A 17,429-nucleotide genomic window follows, 5' to 3' on the forward strand; every position below is an offset into this window, starting at 1 on the left:
GTGGGGCCATCTCTGCTTACTGCAACCTCCGCCCCCCTGTTCAAGCAATTCTCCTGCCTCAGCCTCCAGAGTAGCTGAAATTAAAGGGGTGCGCCACCACACCCGGCTAATTCTTGTATTTTTAGTAGAGACAGGGTTTCACCATGTTGGCCAGGTTGGTCTCGATCTCCTGACCTCAAGTAATATGCCTGCCTCGGCCTCCCAAAGTGCTGGGATTACAGGCGTGAACCACTACACTCAGCCCTGAACGATGGACTTTCATGAAATAGAAGCTAGCTTCGTCTATTTTAAGTAGAGTGAAAAGATTTTTGTGAGAAGAATTGGGGTGCCTCATGGAACCCACGGGCAGGCTTCCCAAGGGGCTGGAAGCAAGAGATCTCTCCCCTGGTCTTTGTCTCTGCTGTCTCTCTCTGTTTGTCTCGGTGTCAACAGGCGTGAGCCACCGCACCCAGCAGTAAAATAAACTTTCTAAATTGACTGGGACCTTTGATTTCTTAAGAGAAGATGATCTGTTAATGCAGGCACTGGGGAAGAACATCACTGAGAAGTATGGCTGGAGTGCACACAGCCTGCTGGGCTGGTCCTAGGCTCTTTGCCCACTCTAATAATGGGAGATGGATTCAGAGGCCTAAACATACAAAGAGGTTCTTGTGCAGGTTGTTGTGCATTAGAGGAGTCATGTCTTAAGGAAAAAGGCCTGGGAGAGCTTCCCATCTGCCCAGGGGAATTTAGGAGAACTGGGCCTTCCTGCTGAGAGGCCAGCGTGGGAGTTAGTAGGGGGAGCCTGGAGTTGGGATCTGCTCACTGAGGCCATCTGAGGCCAGTCTATAGTTATAATGATTTCCTAGCTCTCTGTCATCTTTGGAGGTAGAGGAAGAATTATTCTTCCTCGTGTAGTAAGCAGAGCTTTATGAAAACCAAAACAAAGACTGAAAGACCAACCAGTGAATGTTGGGTAGGGAATTTTTACTGCCCAACAGGGAACTGCACCCACCTGGGAGATGAGGTTGGAGGAAGAGAAATGGGGTAGGTCTTTCAAGCCAACAAGGTGTGCCCTGTCTCTTTGGAAGCAAGGCTTCTGAGATGATTAGTGGCTGTCTGGTGACATCGGGCTTGCTGAGAAGGCAGGCACCAGGCTGGCTGGAGAAGGTTTGTTGTTGGTGGGCAGGCGCTACGGCGCCCACTGCTGGGTCTTGGTGCATCCAAGGGGAGCCAGCCCTGCAGATCTGCCCAGTGCTGGCCGGCCGGGTGGCCAGTGGGGTCAGTCTGCTTCTTGTGTGGCTCTGCCTCTGGCTTTGCATCAGGTGCAGGGGCAAAGGGGTCATGGCTGGAGAAAAGTGGTCAGTCTTCTGTGGAAAGCCAAGGGGCTTTCTGTGTGTGCTAGAGGGCAGGGCCCATGGGTCTCGCACAGCCCACCACAGGCAGGCCGGGGCCCCTTCTCACCACCTCCCTACCTACTGGTATTTCTCTAGGGCTCCCTCTCCCCTACTTTCTCACAAGCTGAAGAGCCTGTGGCCTCCACCCCCAGCCCCTGGGAAAAAGCCTGGCTAGGAAGCAGTTGCCTGGAGTCCGGCAGGAAACCTGCACTGGTGTGGCGGAGAGAATGGGTGGCTCTTCCTTATCTGCCGGGACGGAGCAGGCCGAGGGGTAAACAGGAGGCTGTCCCAGCACCGGGAATTCCTGGATGAGGTGTTCCTCTTTAACTGGAAGGAAGGGATATCCTGTGTATTAGTCCATTTTCATGCTGCTGATAAAGACATACCTGAGACTGGGAAGAAAAAGAGGTTTAATTGGACTTACAGTTCCACATGGCTGGGGAGGCCTCAGAATCATGGCAGAAGGTAAAAGGAACTTCTTACATGGTGGTGGCAAGAGAAAAACGAGGAAGAAGCAAAAGCGGAAACCCCTGATAAACCCATCAGATCTCATGAGACTTATTCATGAGAATAGCACGGGAAAGACCGGACCCCATGAGTCAATGACCTTCCCTGGGTCCCTCCCACAACATGTGGGAATTCTGGGAGATAGAATTCAAGTTGTGATTTTGGTGGGGACACAGCCAAACCATATTATCCTAACATTGATTATCAAGATGGTCTCATCCAGGAATCCTTCCAGACCCACAGTAGGAAGGGGTGAGATGCATGTTTGATTTTGGGGACTGATGGCCAGGATACTCTCTGGGTTGGAGCCAGGAACCAAGGCCCCTTGAGGCCCGGCTTTGGGGACAAAGCAGAGAGAAATCAGGATCATAGGAGCACTGTCTGAGGATCAGCTAGGCCTGGATTCAAATCCAGACCACCCCTCGCCAGTGTGAGCTAAGCCCGCACCTTAGCCTCTCTGAGTCTCATCTGTGGATGGGGGTCACACTGCTTGCCTCCCTGGGCTGCCTGTGACAGTGTGCACACCCTCCACACACCACATTCGGGCCCCAGGTGGACATTTGCTAGGAAACTGCACAGCCTGGTTCCACTTTGTCATTCTGAAGCCACAGCTTGCCTGTGTGAGTGGGGACAAGAATAAGAAAGGACCTTGCCCAAAGTGCTCAGTCTTCAACACTGGCCCCTCTTCTGCAGAGACCTTGCAGGACAGGGCCTAAGGAGATGTTGTGGCCACTCGATGACCTGCCGTCTCTGTAGGGGATCAGGAACCACAGGTCTGGGTTGGCGCTTGGGTGGAGCTGGGGATACATTTGGGAGTCTGGCCCACATCACTGTTAGACACACGGAAGACTCCCGCCAAATCCATAGTCACCAGGCCTGCAGGGACCCTCCGAGGATGTAGAGAGAACTGCCTGACTGAGGATGGGGCAGTCATCCCTTCCTGTGTCCGGGCAACTGGAGAGAGCTGGGAGTCAATACCTCACATGGATGGTGGGGCCCAATAGCCCCGGCCGCATGTGCTTATTGAGCACTTAACATGGGGCTCATGTGAGGGAGGAAGTGAATCTTTAATTTTAGCTTATTCCCATTTAAATGGCCACACACAGCTAGTGGCTGCTGCCTTGGCTAGCCCAGGCTAGGCTGCAGTGGTTCCCAAACTTTCATGAGTATAAGAATCACCCAAGGAGCTTGTTGAAAAGTAGACTCAGAGATTTGGGTTCAGCCGGTCAGGGGAGAGGTCAGGGGAGAGGCTCTGGAGTTGCACCTTAATAAGCAGTCCACACTCTGATTTAGGGGCCACCTGGCCATCCGTTCTGTACTCCTCCTCCTTTCTTTCTTCCCAGCCCAGCTTTCTCTTTTACTGTCTTCTTATTCTGTGCCTTTGCCTCCATCATTTTATTTCCATTCCATTCCATTCCATCTATCTACAATTATGTGTCACTTAACGACAGGGGTACATTCTAAGAAGTGTGTCATTAGGTAATTTTGATATTGTTGTAAACCAAAAATAAAATTGTAAGGCCCCACCAACTATCTGAATGGACTCCTGCTCTCTTCCAAGGGCATTCCAAAGTTAACCTGAAAAACTAGTTCAGGCCTTGACAGGAACTGGGAGCTGGACATACCTCATCATTCCCTCCTCCCTTTTGGAATTACTGACAGAACAGACTCTTTAAGTCTGATAAGAAACATTTACAGTCTGGTCTCCCTGAAGCCTGCTACCTAAAAGCTTCATCTGCATGATCAAACCTTGGCATCCACAACCCCTTATCTCAACCCAGACATTCCTTTCTATTGATAACAACTCAACTAATTGCCAATCCAAAAATCTTTAAATCTACTTATAACTTGGAAGCCCCTGCTTTGAGTTATCCTGCCTTTCTGGACCAAACCAATGTACTGTTACATGTATTGATTGATGTCTCATATCTCCCTAAAATGTATAAAACCAAGCTCTACCCTACAGCCTTGGGGAAATGTCGTCAGGACTTCCTGAGGCTGTGTCACAGGCGTGGGCTTAGCCTTGGCAAAATAAACTTTCTAAATTGAGACCTGTCTCAGATACGTTGGGTTTACATTGTGCAAACATCATCGTGTATACTTACATAAACTAAATGGTGTCACCTACTAAATGCATAGGCTATAGGGTACAGCCTATTGCCCCTCGGCTACAAACCTGTACAGCACATTACCGTATTGAATACTGCAGGCGACTGGAACACAACGGTAAGTATCATGCATCTAAACGTAGAAAAGGTAATGGGTTGTGCTGTGGCATCCCTAGGTGACAGGGATTTTCTTGGTTCCTTTATAATCTCATGGGACCACCATCATGTAAGTGGCCAATCATTGACAGAAATGCTGCTACACGGCACATGACTGTATGTAAATCTTATTAAATGGCTTAATGAGTGCTGCCAAACTTCAATGGGAGGCTGATGATGAGGAGTGAGGTGGGGAGGCCAGACCCGGGTATGTCTGCCTACAGCGGTAGAGTAGCACACACCCGTGAGCGTAGGCATATTACTCAATTCTTTAAGCCTCAATTTCCTCATCTGAAAGGGAATGCAGTAATGCTTTATAAGAAGACGTCAAGGATTAAATGAGATTTAATAGGAATCCAATAAAGGTGAGTTCCTGTCTGCATTCCTCAATCCCTCACCCTCTCCTGTTCCCTTCCAGTAAACCAGCACGTAGAGACGAGGCCTGCAAGTAACCCATCTCCCCTCGTCTCTGTGATGGGACCAGAGATCCACCACCAGCATCCTCTTTTCCCTCCTTATAAACATGACTTCTATTTGTCCCTCAACATCTTTGAATTCTGAACTTTTAGGGTTCTCATAAGAAAGTAATTGGCCGGTAAACTGAGGTCTGGGCTGGGAAAATCCTGACCAGGGCTTTCTCCAGGAGATGAGGTTGAGGAGAAGGTGCCCCCATCATGGTGGATCAAAACAGCCAGAAATAGCCCAAAGGCCTTTGGGAGGCCCAGTGGCTCAGGCACTTAACATGGGTATCGCAGGGGAATCTGGGATGACAAAGATCCTCAGAACCCCCCAGCAGCCATCCAGAGCTCCAGGACCTCAGAAACAGCCGCTGAGGCTTAGGAGCTGTCCTTGGAGCCAGTCTGATCCGGCCTGGTGGGAACAGAAACTTGTGAAGTCCTGCAGCCCTCTGTCCCTGCCTACGGATCAGACCCAAGCTCCCTCAGTGAGAGAGGGTCACTCTGCCAGGGGTAGGTGAATCTTTCATGTTGGCACCTTCCCCACCCCCTAGGGACAACTGGAGAGGGCTGGTGGTTCCTGTCTCCAAGCTCTTCTCCATAAATTACAGGCTTCTCAGTTTTCTGTGACTGATCTGATTACCTCTGGCATGTTTCAGGTTCAAATAATGTTGTCCACCTTTCCCAGAAACTGGATATTGGGCTATTCCCTGGCCAATTGCTCCCTGATATCAGGAAGGAGCCAGGGTGGAGGTAGCAAGTCTCATTGCCCAAAATCTCTGATGGCCGTGAGCAGAGCTGGGGGCCAATGGGCCGGACGAAGTCATGGATTCCTGAGGGAAGAGGCAGCTTGTAGACCTCACAGGATCCACACACGCCCCCACCCACATCAGGACCAAAGTCAAGGCCAGTCTGTGATCTTTGTGCTCCCCTCAGCTCCCAGGACTCCTTGGAGACAGACGAAGTACCATCCAGGCTGGACATCCCTGGTTCTGACCTGGCCTCTGGGCTCAGCATTGTCCTGCAGCCTGGCCTTAGCTACCTCCATGGATGAACCTTATTTGAATGATGGACATTTTATTTTTTGAGACAGAGTCTTGCTCTGTCTCCCAGCCTGGAGTGCAGTGGCATGATCTCGGCTCACTGCAATTTCTGCCTCTCTGGTTCAAGTGATTCTCCTGCCTCAGCCTCCCAAGTAGTAGAGATTACAGGAAAATGCCACCACACCCAGCTAATTTTTGTATTTTTAGTAGAGATGGGATTTCACCATGTTGGCCAGGCTGGTCTTGAACTCCTGACCTCAGGTGATCTGACTGCCTCGGCCTCCCAAAGTGCTGGGATTACAGGCGTGAACCACTACACTCAGCCCTGAATGACGGACTTTTATGGAACAGAAACTAGCTTGGTCTATTTTAAGCAGAGTAAAAAGATTTTTGCGAGAAGAATTGGGGTGCCTCATGGAACCCATGGGCAGGCTTCCCAAGGGGCTGGAAGCAAGAAATCTCTCCCCTGGTCTCTGTCTCTGCTGTCTCTCTCGGTTTGTCTCTGTGTCCGCTTCCTTCACTCTCTCTCTCTTTCTCCTCCCTCTCTCTCTCTGGATTGACTTTCTCTGCTCACTTTGCACTTGGTTTGTCGGGGCTACTCCAAAATGGTGCCCTCAGCCCTGGGTCCGCACCACCCAGCTCCAGCAGCAAACTGACCCAGGCTGTTAGAGTCCGAGTTGCAAATTTCAAGAGCGACAATCTGACTGGGCCAGTCTGGCCTCTGGGTCAGTTCCCCGGGGTCAGGTCTCTGCAGGATGATGTTCAACCATCGCAGCCAAGGAGCAACAGAGCCACGAGAACATCACTCTGGCTTCTCCCTGGGCAGCAGAAGGAAGGTGGAGAAGACACCTCCAAAAGGCATCTGTCACAGGTTGAGGCCAACATCCCCATCAGCTCTGAGGCCGAACAGTGCCTCCCTACATCTACCTGCCAAGGGCACTGGCAGGGCTTAAGGTGAGACAAATAAAAATGCAAGGTGGCCGGGTCCTGTCTCTCCTTACAGGCAGCAGGAAACTCTTGCCCCAGCCTGCTGCTCCCTTAGTCCCACCCAGGCCCCTATTCAAGGAGTGAATTCCAGAGAAGGAAACAGGAGCCCCAGCCTCCTCACAGTGCCACAGTTAGACACTGGTGCCAGCAGGCACTTCCTCAACACCTCCAGCCCCAGGCGCTTCCTCCCTGAGAGCAATTCCATCTGGGTTAATGGCCCAGCCCATCTAATGTGCCCGGTAATCCCTCTGAAGCTGCCTTTGTTCGTCTCCTCTGGTTAATCCAGCCCCAGCAACTGAGCTGCCCCCAGCCTGCCCCTGGCCTGTGGCTTAGGCCTGGCTGGGGTTTGCCTCTGTTTGACTCCCCCAGGGTTGCAGCTTCCCAGGGAGGCAGCTGCTCCCGCCCATCCCCTGCCCATCCCCTGCCTGCCTGGTTTGCATCCCAAAGGCCTGGAGACACTCACACAGGCAGGAAGGCAGAACCAGTTGTCTCCAGGGGCAGAAATGGGGGCTGTTCACCCAGAGCCACAGTGGCAGCTGGGCTAGAGAGACTGGCCAGGTTCCCCACGGTTGTCCCCACAGCCTGCAATGTCTCCCCACCACTTTGCAGGGATTAGTCCCCAGCCCTGCAGCCTCTCACTACTGCGTCCTCAGCATGGGGGCTTCTCTCTGTGACAGGCTGGAACTGGGGCTTGATATGAAAAACAGCTGGAGCCTGAGGCATTCACACTTGCTCAGATTTCACACTGTTGTGTTTAGGATTAGCAGGAAGGAGAGGCAGATCAAATGTTACCATCATTAGAGGCCCTTCTCTCCTGGGGCCAGCCCTCCTGCCCTGCCCTTTCCTCCTCCCCCAGCCTAACCTTCCGCTCTTCTCTCCTCTCCCATCTAGGCTGGGCCCACCCTTCCTTAGGAAGCTTCAGGCAGCCTCCACTGGTTTCTGTTTCAGTTCAGGATGTACCTATCTGACTTCTGAGTCTCTAAGCTCCTGGCCTCAGGTGGTTAGCAGCTCAGGCATCAGCCAGGTGGGCTCTGGGCTGTCCCAGGGAGAGAATATTGGGTGCAGTCCACAAGCAATAGGCACTTGGGCCTGTTTGGGCTGGGAGCATTTAACAGACCATGTTTTGGGGCATTTTGAAATTCATTCTATTCATTTAACCACTTCATGCATGCATGCAATAATGGAACGCTACCTTGTGCTATCAACCTGGGATACAGTAGGGAGCCAGAGAGTATCCTTGCCCTCAGTCTAGTGAGAGGTTAATCAAGCAACCACAAAATGTGTGAGAGGGGCAAGATGGGGTGGTATGCAAGGCAGTTCTAAAAAGTTCCAAGTAACCTAGTGTCTTGCTACTCGAAGTGAGGCCTGTGGGGCCAGCAGCACCACCCCCACCTGGGTGCTTGTTCGCAATGCAGAATCTCAGCTCCATTTCCTCCCTGCAGAATCATAATCTTCCCTTCAATAGGATCTGTGCAGGGTTTACATGCAAAGTAATGTTGGAGCAGTGTAACCGCTCAACAGGTTCTTCCTGCCTGCTGCACAAATAAAGACCGCGGCATTGCAGTGTGAACCTCGAATATCTGAGACAGGTCCCAGTCAATTTAGAAGGTTTATTTTGCCAAGGTTAAGGACATGCACCCATGACACAGCCTCAGGAGGGCCTGACGACATGTGCCCCAGGTGGTTGGGGCACAGCTTGGTTTTATACATTTTAGGGAGACATGAGATATCAATATGTGTAAGATGAACATCAGTTCGATAGGGAAAGGCAGGACAACTGGAAGTAAAGGAAGTGGAGAGGGAGCCTCCAGGTTATAGGTAGGTGAGAGACAAATGGTTGCATTCCTTTGAGTTTTGAATTAGCCTTTTTCATGCACATCCGTGTGAAGAGACAACCAAACAGGCTGTGTGTGAGCAACATGGCTGTTTATTTCACCTGGGTGCAGGCGGGCTGAGTCCAAAAAGAGAGTCAGCGAAGGGAAGATAAGGGTGGGGCCGTTTTATAGGATTTGGGTAGGTAAAGGAAAATTACAGTCAAAGGGGGTTTGTTCTCTGGTGAGCAGGAGTGGGGGTTGCAAGGTGCTCAGTGGGGGTGCTTTCTGAGCCAGGATGAGCCAGGAAAAGGACTTTCACAAGGTAATGTCATCAGTTAAGGCAAGCACCGGCCATTTACAGTTCTTTTGTGGTGGAATGTCATCAGTTAAGGTGGGGCAGGGCATATTCACTTCTTTTGTGATTCTTCAGTTACTTCAGGCCATCTGGGCGTATACGTGCAAGTCACAGGGGATGTGATGGCTTGGCTTGGGCTCAGAGGCCTGACATTCCTGCCTTCTTATATTAATAAGAAAAATAAAATAGTATTGAAGTGTTGGGGCGGCGAAAATTTTTGGGGGGTGGTATGGAGAGAGAATGGGCGATGTTTCTCAGGGCTGCTTCAAGCGGGATTAGGGGCGGCGTGGGAACCTAGAGTGGGAGAGATTAAGCTGAAGGGAGGTCTTGTGGTAAGGGGTGATATTGTGGGGATGTTAGAAGAAACATTTGTCGTATAGAATGATTGGTGATGGCCTGGATATGGTTTTGGATGAATTGAGAAACTAAATGGAATGACAGAAGGAGAAAAATGGGTACAAAAGGTCTAAGAATTGGGATGACTCAGGATATCTGATTAGAGAGTGCCTTAGGAGATTCAGCATAGTCCTGCCAGCAAAGATTATTTATTTACTTTAAGAGTTAAGAGTGGCAGTTTGGGGATAGCACCAGGAGATATCAGCTGTGATGGCTTGGAAAAACAGTGTAAACCGGCAGTGTAAACAAGAGCAGAGCATGTATGAGTAGTTGAGAACGGTGAATAGGAGTATGACTAGACAGAAGATACTAGGGATGACAAGTTTTCTGGGGCACAGTCCAAGTTGGTCTGGTGTCTGGAATGAGACTGGGGCCTAATAAAAAGGAGCGTCTATACAGGAGCTTAAATGGGCTGTAGCCTGCAGCATTCCGAGGACAGGCCTGAATTCTGAGAAGGGAAAGTGATAAAAGTGTAGTCCAGTCCTTTTTGGTGGCTGAGCTTGGTGAGGTGTGTTTTTAAAAGATCTTCAGTCCATTCTACTTTTCTTGAAGATGGAGGACTGTAAGGGATATGAAGGTTTCACTGAATACTAAGAGCTTGAAAAACTGTTTGGCTGATTTGACTAATAAAGGCTCATCTGTTATCAGACTATATTGAGGTGGGAAGGCTTAACTGAGGAATTATGTCTGACAGAACGGAAGAAATGACTGCCATGGCCTTCTCAGACCCTGTAGGAAAGGCCTCTACCTATCCAGTGAAAGTATCTACCTAGACTAAGAGGTATTTTAGTTATCTGACTCAGGGCATGTTGAGTAAAGCTAATTTGCCAGTCCTGGGTGGGGCAAATCCTCGAGCTTGATGTGTAGGGAAGGGAGGGGGCCTGAATAATCCCTGAGGAGTAGTAGAATAGCAGATGGAACACTGAGAAGTTATTTCCTTGAGGATAGATTTCTACGATGGAAAGGAAATGAGAGGTTCTAAGAGGCGGGCTAGTGGCTTGTACTATAGTATAACCTGCCTTTGCTGGTGTGTGGCGATTAGGCCTGGTTGAACCGCCAGCAATAAATCAAGCATGATCAGGGTGAGGAACAGGAAAGAAGGAAATTTGGGGAAATGGGGTGAATGTCAGGTGGATCAGAGAGATACAGTCATGGGGGTCAGGTGTAGTATCAGGAATAATGTGGGAGGCCGGATTGAAGTCTGGGCCAGGAACAACGGTAATTGTGGGAGACTCAACAAAGAGTGAGTACAGCTGAAGGAGCCAGGGAGCAGAAAGTATATGCATTAGGTATGAGGAAGAAAATAGATTTTGGAAGTTATGAGAACTGTAGAGAGTGAGTTGAGCATAGTTTGTGATTTTGAGGGCCTCTAAAAGTATTAAAGCAGTGGCAGCCGCTGCACGCAGACATGAGGGCTAGGCTAAAACAGTAAGGTCAAGTTGTTTGCACAGAAAGGCTACAGGGTGTGGTCCTGGCTCTTGTGTAAGAATTCTGACCACGCTAACCATGCCTAGGAAGGAAAGGAGTTGTTGTTTTGTAGAAGGTGCTGGGGTTTGAGAGATCAGTCAGACACGATTGGCAGGGAGAGCACGTGTGTTTTTATGAGAATTATGCCGAGATAGGTAACAGATGAGGATGAAATTTGGGCTTGATTGAAGTAATGGAGGCTGTCTGTGAAGCTTTGCAGCAGTACAGCCTTGGTAATTTGCTGAGCCTAATGGGTGTCAGGGTCAGTCCAAGTGAAAGCAAAGAGAGGCTGGAACGAGGGGTGCAGGGGAATAGTGAAAAAAGCATCTTTAAGATCAGGCACGGAATAGTGAGTTGTGGAGGAAGGTATTGAGGACAAAAGAGTGTATGGGGTTGGGCACCACAGGGGGGATAGGCAAAACAATTTGGTTGATAAGGTGCAGATCCTGAACTAACTTGTAAGGCTTGTCTGGTTTTAGGACAGGTAAAATGGGGGAATTGTAAGGAGAGTTTATAGGGTTTAAAAGGCCATGCTGTAGCAGGCGAGTGATAACAGGCTTTAATCTTTTTAAAGCGTGCTGCGGGATGGGATATTGGCGTTGAGTGGGGTAAGGGTGATTAGGTTTTAATGAGATGGTAAGGGGTGCATGATCCGTCGCCAAGGAGGGAGTAGAGGTATCTTATACTTGTGGGTTAAGGTGGGGGGATACAAGAGGAGGACGCAAAGGAGGCTTTGGATTGGGAAGAAGGGCGGCAATGAGATATAGCTGTAGTCCAGGAATAGTCAGGGAAGCAGATAATTTAAAGTGTCTCAGCCTAATAAGGGAACTGGGCAGGTGGGGATAACTAAAAAGGAGTGCTTAAAAGAGTATTGTCTAAGTTGGCACCAGAGTTGGGGAGTTTTAAGAGGTTTAGAAGCCTGGCCGTCAATACCCACAACAGTTATGGAGGCAAGGGAAACAGGCCCTTGAAAAGAAGGTGATGTGGAGTGGGTAGCCTCCGTATTGATTAAGAAGGAGACGGGCTTACCTTCCACTGTGAGAGTTACCTGAAGCTCGGCGTCTGTGATGGTCTAGGGGGCTTCCGAGGCGATCGGGCAGTGTCAGTCTTCAGCTGCTAAGCCGAGAAGATCTGGGAAGGAGTCAGTCAGAGAGCCTTGGGCCAGAGTTCCAGGGACTCTGGGAGTGGCTGCCAGGTGAGTTGAACAGTCCGATTTCCAGTGGGGTCCCGCACAGATGGGACGCGGCTTAGGAGGAATCCCGGGCTGCGGGCATTCCTTGGCCCAGTGGCCAGATTTCCGGCATGTGTAGCAAGCTCCTGGGGGAGGAGGTTCTGGAGGAACGCCTGGCCACTGCGGTTCAGGCATTTGGAAGTTCTTGTGTGCTGGAGATGTGGCTGGGGTTTGTCTCACAGTGGAGGCAAGGAATTGCAACTTTTTTCTGTTATTGTACACCTTGAAGGTGAGGTTAATTAAGTCCTGTTGTGGGGTTTGAGGGCCAGATTCCAATTTTTGGAGTTTTATTTAATGTCGGGAGTAGATTGGGTAATAAAATGCATATTGAGAATAAGATGGCCTTTTGACCTTTTAGGGTCTAGGGCTGTAAAGTGTCTCAGGGTTGCTGCCGAATGAGCCATGAACTGGGCTCGGTTTTTATATTTGATGAAAAAGCCTAAACGCTTCTGATTTGGGATAAAGAAAAAGGAGCATTAACCTTGACTATGCCTTTGGCTCCAGCCACCTTTTTAAGAGTAAATTGCTGGGCAGGTGGGGGAGGGCTAGTCACGGAACGAAACTGTAAGCCAGACCAGGTGTGAGGAGGGGAGGTGATAAAAAGATTGTAGGGTGGAGGAGCAGAGGCTGAGGAAGAATTGGGACCTAGCTCGGCCTGGCGAGGAGCAGCCTGGGGAGGAAGGGAGAGGTCAGATGGGTCTGTAGAAAAGGAAGATTAGAAAGACTCAGCGACACTTGGGGTTGGTACTGAGGGGACAGGCGGGAGGGAAAGAAGGAAGATTTGGGACGAGTTGCACTGGGCACAGAGACTAGGAAGGGACTGATGTGTAAAAGAATGCCTGGACGTCAGGCACCTCAGACCGTTTGCCTATTTTATGACAAGAATTATTTAGATCTTGCAGGATGGAAAAATTCAAAGTGCCATTTTCTGGCTATTTGGAACTACTGTCGAGTTTGTATTGGGGTCAAGCGGCATTGCAGAAGAAAATAAGGCGTTTAGGTTTTAGGTCAGGTGTGAGTTGAAGAGGTTTTAAGTTTTTGAGAACAAAGGCCAAGGGAGTAGGAGGAGGAATGGAGGGTGGAAGGTTCCCATAGTGAAGGAAGCAAGCCTAGAGAAAAGAGAGAGTAGAGAAACGGATGGAAGGGGTTTGGGGATTCTTACCTTCCAGAAAAGTGGGAAAAGGGGTTGGGGTGCAGAGATAAGAGGTTGGGGTGTGGAAATAAGGGATGGGGTGCAGAAATAGGTCGGGGCATGGAAATAAGGGATTGGGACGCAGAGATAAGAGGTTGGGGCGTGGAAATAAGCGATTGGAGGCTTCTTGCCCCCTAGGAAAGCGGGACTTGCTGCTAAGGGTGAAGGAGAATGGGTTGAGGGTACTTGCCCCTCTCCCAGAAAAGCAGAGAAGGGGTAGAGACAAGGAGAGAAGGGGTTGAGGTACTTGCCCCTTCCCCAGAAAAGCAGGACTTGCCGCTAAGGGTGAAGGACCAAGGCAGGTGTCCCTGCGTGGTCTGACACCCTTGAAACGTGGGTGAATGATCAGAGAGGCGTCCCTGCAATGATTAAACACCAAGGGAAGGCTGCCTTCCCAGTCCGTGACCGGCGCCGGAGTTTTGGGTCCACGGACAAAACGTGTCTCCTTTGTGTCTCCCAGAAAATGAAAGGAATTGAAATTAAGAGAAGGGAGAGATTGAAGAGTGGAAAGGAGAAAGTGGTTGAGGGACAGTGAGAGAGGTTGGAGAAGAGAGTAAGAAGAGGCCGCTTACCTGATTTAAAATTGGTGAGATGTTCCTTGGGCTGGTTGGTCTGAGGACCTGAGGTCGTGGGTGGATCTTTCTCACGGAGCAAAGAGCAGGAGGACGGGGGATTGATCTAGCAAGGGAGGTCCCCCGATCCGAGTCACGGCACCAAATTTCATGCGCGTCCGTGTGAAGAGACCACCAAACAGGCTGTGTGTGAGCAACATGGCTGTTTATTTCACCTGGGTGCAGGCGGGCTGAGTCCGAAAAGAGAGTCAGCGAAGGGAGATAAGGGTGGGGCTGTTTTATAGGATTTGGGTAGGTAAAGGAAAATTACAGTCAAAGGGGGTTTGTTCTCTGGTGGGCAGGAGTGGGGGTCGCAAGGTGCTCAGTGGGGGTGCTTTTTGAGCCAGGATGAGCTAGGAAAAGGACTTTCACAAGGTAATGTCATCAGTTAAGGCAAGGACCGGCCATTTACAGTTCTTTTGTGGTGGAATGTCATCAGTTAAGGTGGGGCAGGGCATATTCACTTCTTTTGTGATTCTTCAGTTACTTCAGGCCATCTGGGCGTATATATATGGGCAAGTCACAGGGGATGCAATGGTTTGGCTTGGGCTCAGAGGCCTGGCAGCCTTTCCAAAAGAGGCAATCAGATACGTATCTATCTCAGTGAGTAGAGGGTTGACTGAATAGAATGGGAGGCAGGTTTGCCCTAAGCAGCTCCCAGCTTGACTTTTCCCTTTAGCTTAGTGACTTGGGGGTCCCAAGGTTTATTTTCCTGTCACAGCAGTAAAGAGGAGTTTAATAGACAAGAGCCTGGCCACGCAACATGGGAGATTGGGTTAGTACTCAAATCAATCTCATCCAAAACTTGTAGGTCAGGGGTTTTTTAAAGGCAGTGTGGGGAAGGGGTGGGGGTGGCTAGACTTGCTCCTGATTGGTTGAGGCAGAGATGAAACCACAGCAGGTAGAAGCTGTCCTCCTAAGCGGAATCACTCCTGTGTGGGGCCACAGAAGCAGTCTGGCAGGTTCAGGTGCAATCATCAGTGTCAGACATGCAAAACACTGGAAAAGATATCTCAAAGGCTAATCTACAATAGTGGTGTTATCTGCAGGAATGGCTGGCAATTTACGTCTGCATCTTAGCAGGATCAGGCTGCTTTCTGCCCCCCAGACTGATGGCCTTTCATTACCTTTACAAAGCTGGTTGAATCTGGGGGAAGGGCTATTATCATTTAAACTATAACCTAAATGGCTTCCAATGTTAGCTCAGCCCAAAAGCCCAGGAATAATTAAGGGAAAGGCAAGATGGGGAGTGGGTTAGCTCAACTCACTGTTACAATTTTTCTCACTGATATGCTTTTTGCAAAGGTGGTTTCAGAAGCAGAGCCTGTGTGCTGCTTTTCAGCTTTGGCTGGGGAGCTTGAAACATACTCGTGCCTGGGTCCCTCCGCGTGGATTTTGATGTAATTGGTCGGGATGTGTCCAGGCATCAGGGTTTTTGAAAGTTCCGGGGTGATTCTAACCTGCAGGCAAGGAAAGAAGCATTGGTCTAGATGAGGAAATGGCACCCAACCTCATTGGCTCACACGTGCCCTCTCTCACTCTTACATGTAAACACCACCATTGATTAAGCTTTTAGAGGAGGCACAGAGAGCAGAACACTTCAACCCTTTACTTCTCATGCATATTCAACGAGCATAACAGAAACAACTAGAGAACAGAAGCAACTGACAGATGTTACTGCACAATTCACAGATATGGTAAAGCCCCTAAAGCAATGCAGTGGCCTCTGTGGGTTGACGGTGGTCAGAGGGGAGGTCAGGGGAGACTCTGCCTTGAAGCAAAAAGGGAGGTGGTAGATTTGGGAGCTGGGAAGCTGCAGGCTGCTTGGGGTAGATCGATGACACCTCTGCCTTGAAGCAAAAAGGGAGGTGGTAGATTTGGGAGCTGGGAAGCTGCAGGCTGCTTGGGGTAGATCGATGACCGCTCCTTCTAGGCTGTGGTGAATGGGAAATGGGCACTGGGGTGAAACTCCCCATGGGAAATGCCTTGAGACCTGGCTGGCCTGGAGTGAGTGGAGCAATGGGATCCCGGCCTAGGCAGAGTCCTGGGCTGGAAGCCCTAGGGCTCACTTCTCTGCCTCTGGGCAAAGTTGGACAAAAAGTGTCCTTTCCACACCAAAGATGTTCAATCTTATTGGTTAAAAAGCAGCAGAGAAGGGTGTGGATGTATCCTCAGCTTGGACAGCCTCCTCTGGCCCAAGTCCTCCCTGGCATTGACTTCCATTCCTGGTGCCGACGATGGTGTTCACGTGGGTTGGTTTGTTTCCCTCATCAGTTCTGGGTGGAGGTGCGGGCCTCGAGTTATTGGGAGTGAGTCACTGGCAGCAGTCCTCTCTTGGATCCTCAGGCAGCCTCGCTCATGCTCTGAGGCACACGTTTAGGAAGACGTCAAATCCACTGATGGCCCTGGGGAATGAATAAGCCCCACCCTGTAGCAGTTGCTAAAAAAATCCAAGTGGCCAACAGAGTCTGATCACCTCTTTTCCTGTAACTTCCTTGCATCTTTCTTCCTCCCTAGGAATGGGGGCAAAGTCCTTGTATTCTTAAACCTCACATCCTGACCCTTCCTTCCAGGAAGCAAATGCTCTTACCCTATTGTGGAAAGTGAAAGTCAAGATCAGCATCCCTCCAGGCCTCCTGGTCCAGGCATTGCTCAGGCTCTCCCCTACTTAATCCTCCTGGGCTGTGGATTCTAGTGCAGATTCTGTGGACAGACAGCCTGACTCATACCCAGCCCGTCCACTTACAAGCTGTGTGACTTTGCCTCAGTTCCTTAACCTCTCTGGGCCTCAGTTTCTTCATCTGTAAAGTGGGGATAATAATAGTGCCCACCTCACAGGCTTGCTGAGAGGATTGGATGAGACACTTAGCCTTGTGCTTAGGCCTCAACTTCTGGTCTGCCACAGTGCCCAGATCCAGGGGTTCTATAAAATCCGTTAGAAAGGCCAGCGTGTCCTGACAAGGGACATTATAAGTCTCACTGCATTATTGCTTTTGTCAGAGGTGTTTGAACCAGAGCAACTCCATCTTGAATAGGGGCTGAGTAAAATGAGGCTGAGACCTACTGGGCTGCATTCCCAGACAGTTAAGGCATTCTAAGTCACAGGATGAGATAGGAGGTCAGCACAAGATACAGGTCACAAAGACCTTGCTGATAAAACAGGTTGCATTAAAGAAGCCGGCTAAATCCTACCAAAAGCAAGATGACAACGAGAGTGAGCTCTGGTCATCCTCACTGCTACACTCCCACCAGCGCCATGACAGTTTACAGATGCCATGGCAACGTCATGAAGTTACCCTCTATGGTCTAAAAAGGGAAGATATGAATAACCCACCCCTTGTTTAGCATATAATCAATAAATAACCATAAAAATGGGCACCCAGCAACCCTTGGTGCTGCTCTGTCTATGGAGCAGCCATTCTTTTATTCCTCTACTTTCTTAATAAACTTGCTTTCACTTTATGGACTTGCCCTGAACTCTTTCTTGTGCGAGATCGAGAACCCTCTCTTAGGGTCTGGATCAGGACCCCTTTCCTGTCACACTTTTAAGGGGGCATGTCATAGGCCTTATAAACAGAGTATTTTAAAACACTGACTTAGGTTGTGCTATCAGCAGGAATTAACTATTCAAGTGCAATTAGTTTATCTGATTATAAGACAGTATTTCTGAGTTTGGGCATTTTGATGGGCTGTTTGAAGTACCTATCAATGAGAACAAATGAAATATCTAA

General features: G+C 49.7%; 13 annotated features.

Annotated features, from left to right (window-relative positions):
* Nucleotides 6,759-7,434: an enhancer, noted in NCBI's record as "NANOG-H3K27ac-H3K4me1 hESC enhancer chr1:223195995-223196670 (GRCh37/hg19 assembly coordinates)". NCBI's record gives its function as "activates a minimal SCP1, AML or CMV promoter by ChIP-STARR-seq in primed H9 embryonic stem cells {active_cell/tissue: H9 hESC(primed)}" and the evidence as "EXISTENCE:reporter gene assay evidence [ECO:0000049][PMID:30033119]".
* Nucleotides 8,111-8,786: an enhancer, noted in NCBI's record as "OCT4-NANOG-H3K27ac hESC enhancer chr1:223197347-223198022 (GRCh37/hg19 assembly coordinates)". NCBI's record gives its function as "activates a minimal SCP1, AML or CMV promoter by ChIP-STARR-seq in naive H9 embryonic stem cells {active_cell/tissue: H9 hESC(naive)}" and the evidence as "EXISTENCE:reporter gene assay evidence [ECO:0000049][PMID:30033119]".
* Nucleotides 8,787-9,462: an enhancer, noted in NCBI's record as "OCT4-NANOG-H3K27ac hESC enhancer chr1:223198023-223198698 (GRCh37/hg19 assembly coordinates)". NCBI's record gives its function as "activates a minimal SCP1, AML or CMV promoter by ChIP-STARR-seq in naive and primed H9 embryonic stem cells {active_cell/tissue: H9 hESC(naive and primed)}" and the evidence as "EXISTENCE:reporter gene assay evidence [ECO:0000049][PMID:30033119]".
* Nucleotides 9,463-10,137: an enhancer, noted in NCBI's record as "NANOG-H3K27ac hESC enhancer chr1:223198699-223199373 (GRCh37/hg19 assembly coordinates)". NCBI's record gives its function as "activates a minimal SCP1, AML or CMV promoter by ChIP-STARR-seq in primed H9 embryonic stem cells {active_cell/tissue: H9 hESC(primed)}" and the evidence as "EXISTENCE:reporter gene assay evidence [ECO:0000049][PMID:30033119]".
* Nucleotides 10,281-11,038: an enhancer, noted in NCBI's record as "NANOG-H3K27ac hESC enhancer chr1:223199517-223200274 (GRCh37/hg19 assembly coordinates)". NCBI's record gives its function as "activates a minimal SCP1, AML or CMV promoter by ChIP-STARR-seq in primed H9 embryonic stem cells {active_cell/tissue: H9 hESC(primed)}" and the evidence as "EXISTENCE:reporter gene assay evidence [ECO:0000049][PMID:30033119]".
* Nucleotides 10,842-13,805: a mobile genetic element, noted in NCBI's record as "direction; reverse".
* Nucleotides 10,842-14,262: a biological region, named in NCBI's record as "1q41-q42 HERV-mediated distal recombination region". NCBI's record gives its function as "recombination_partner: LOC107325941".
* Nucleotides 12,468-12,627: a non allelic homologous recombination region, noted in NCBI's record as "sub-region 1', recombines with sub-region 1 within the 1q41 HERV-mediated proximal recombination region". NCBI's record gives the evidence for it as "EXISTENCE:nucleotide sequencing assay evidence [ECO:0000219][PMID:25246103]".
* Nucleotides 12,630-12,682: a non allelic homologous recombination region, noted in NCBI's record as "sub-region 2', recombines with sub-region 2 within the 1q41 HERV-mediated proximal recombination region". NCBI's record gives the evidence for it as "EXISTENCE:nucleotide sequencing assay evidence [ECO:0000219][PMID:25246103]".
* Nucleotides 13,313-14,070: an enhancer, noted in NCBI's record as "OCT4-NANOG-H3K27ac-H3K4me1 hESC enhancer chr1:223202549-223203306 (GRCh37/hg19 assembly coordinates)". NCBI's record gives its function as "activates a minimal SCP1, AML or CMV promoter by ChIP-STARR-seq in naive H9 embryonic stem cells {active_cell/tissue: H9 hESC(naive)}" and the evidence as "EXISTENCE:reporter gene assay evidence [ECO:0000049][PMID:30033119]".
* Nucleotides 13,808-14,262: a mobile genetic element, noted in NCBI's record as "direction; reverse". NCBI's record gives its function as "suggested as a possible recombination region in PMID:20951845".
* Nucleotides 14,071-14,828: an enhancer, noted in NCBI's record as "OCT4-NANOG-H3K27ac-H3K4me1 hESC enhancer chr1:223203307-223204064 (GRCh37/hg19 assembly coordinates)". NCBI's record gives its function as "activates a minimal SCP1, AML or CMV promoter by ChIP-STARR-seq in naive and primed H9 embryonic stem cells {active_cell/tissue: H9 hESC(naive and primed)}" and the evidence as "EXISTENCE:reporter gene assay evidence [ECO:0000049][PMID:30033119]".
* Nucleotides 14,829-15,586: an enhancer, noted in NCBI's record as "OCT4-NANOG-H3K27ac-H3K4me1 hESC enhancer chr1:223204065-223204822 (GRCh37/hg19 assembly coordinates)". NCBI's record gives its function as "activates a minimal SCP1, AML or CMV promoter by ChIP-STARR-seq in naive and primed H9 embryonic stem cells {active_cell/tissue: H9 hESC(naive and primed)}" and the evidence as "EXISTENCE:reporter gene assay evidence [ECO:0000049][PMID:30033119]".

This window comes from Homo sapiens, chromosome 1 (genome assembly GCF_000001405.40).
Source record: "Homo sapiens chromosome 1, GRCh38.p14 Primary Assembly".
Classification (NCBI taxonomy): domain Eukaryota; kingdom Metazoa; phylum Chordata; class Mammalia; order Primates; family Hominidae; genus Homo; species Homo sapiens.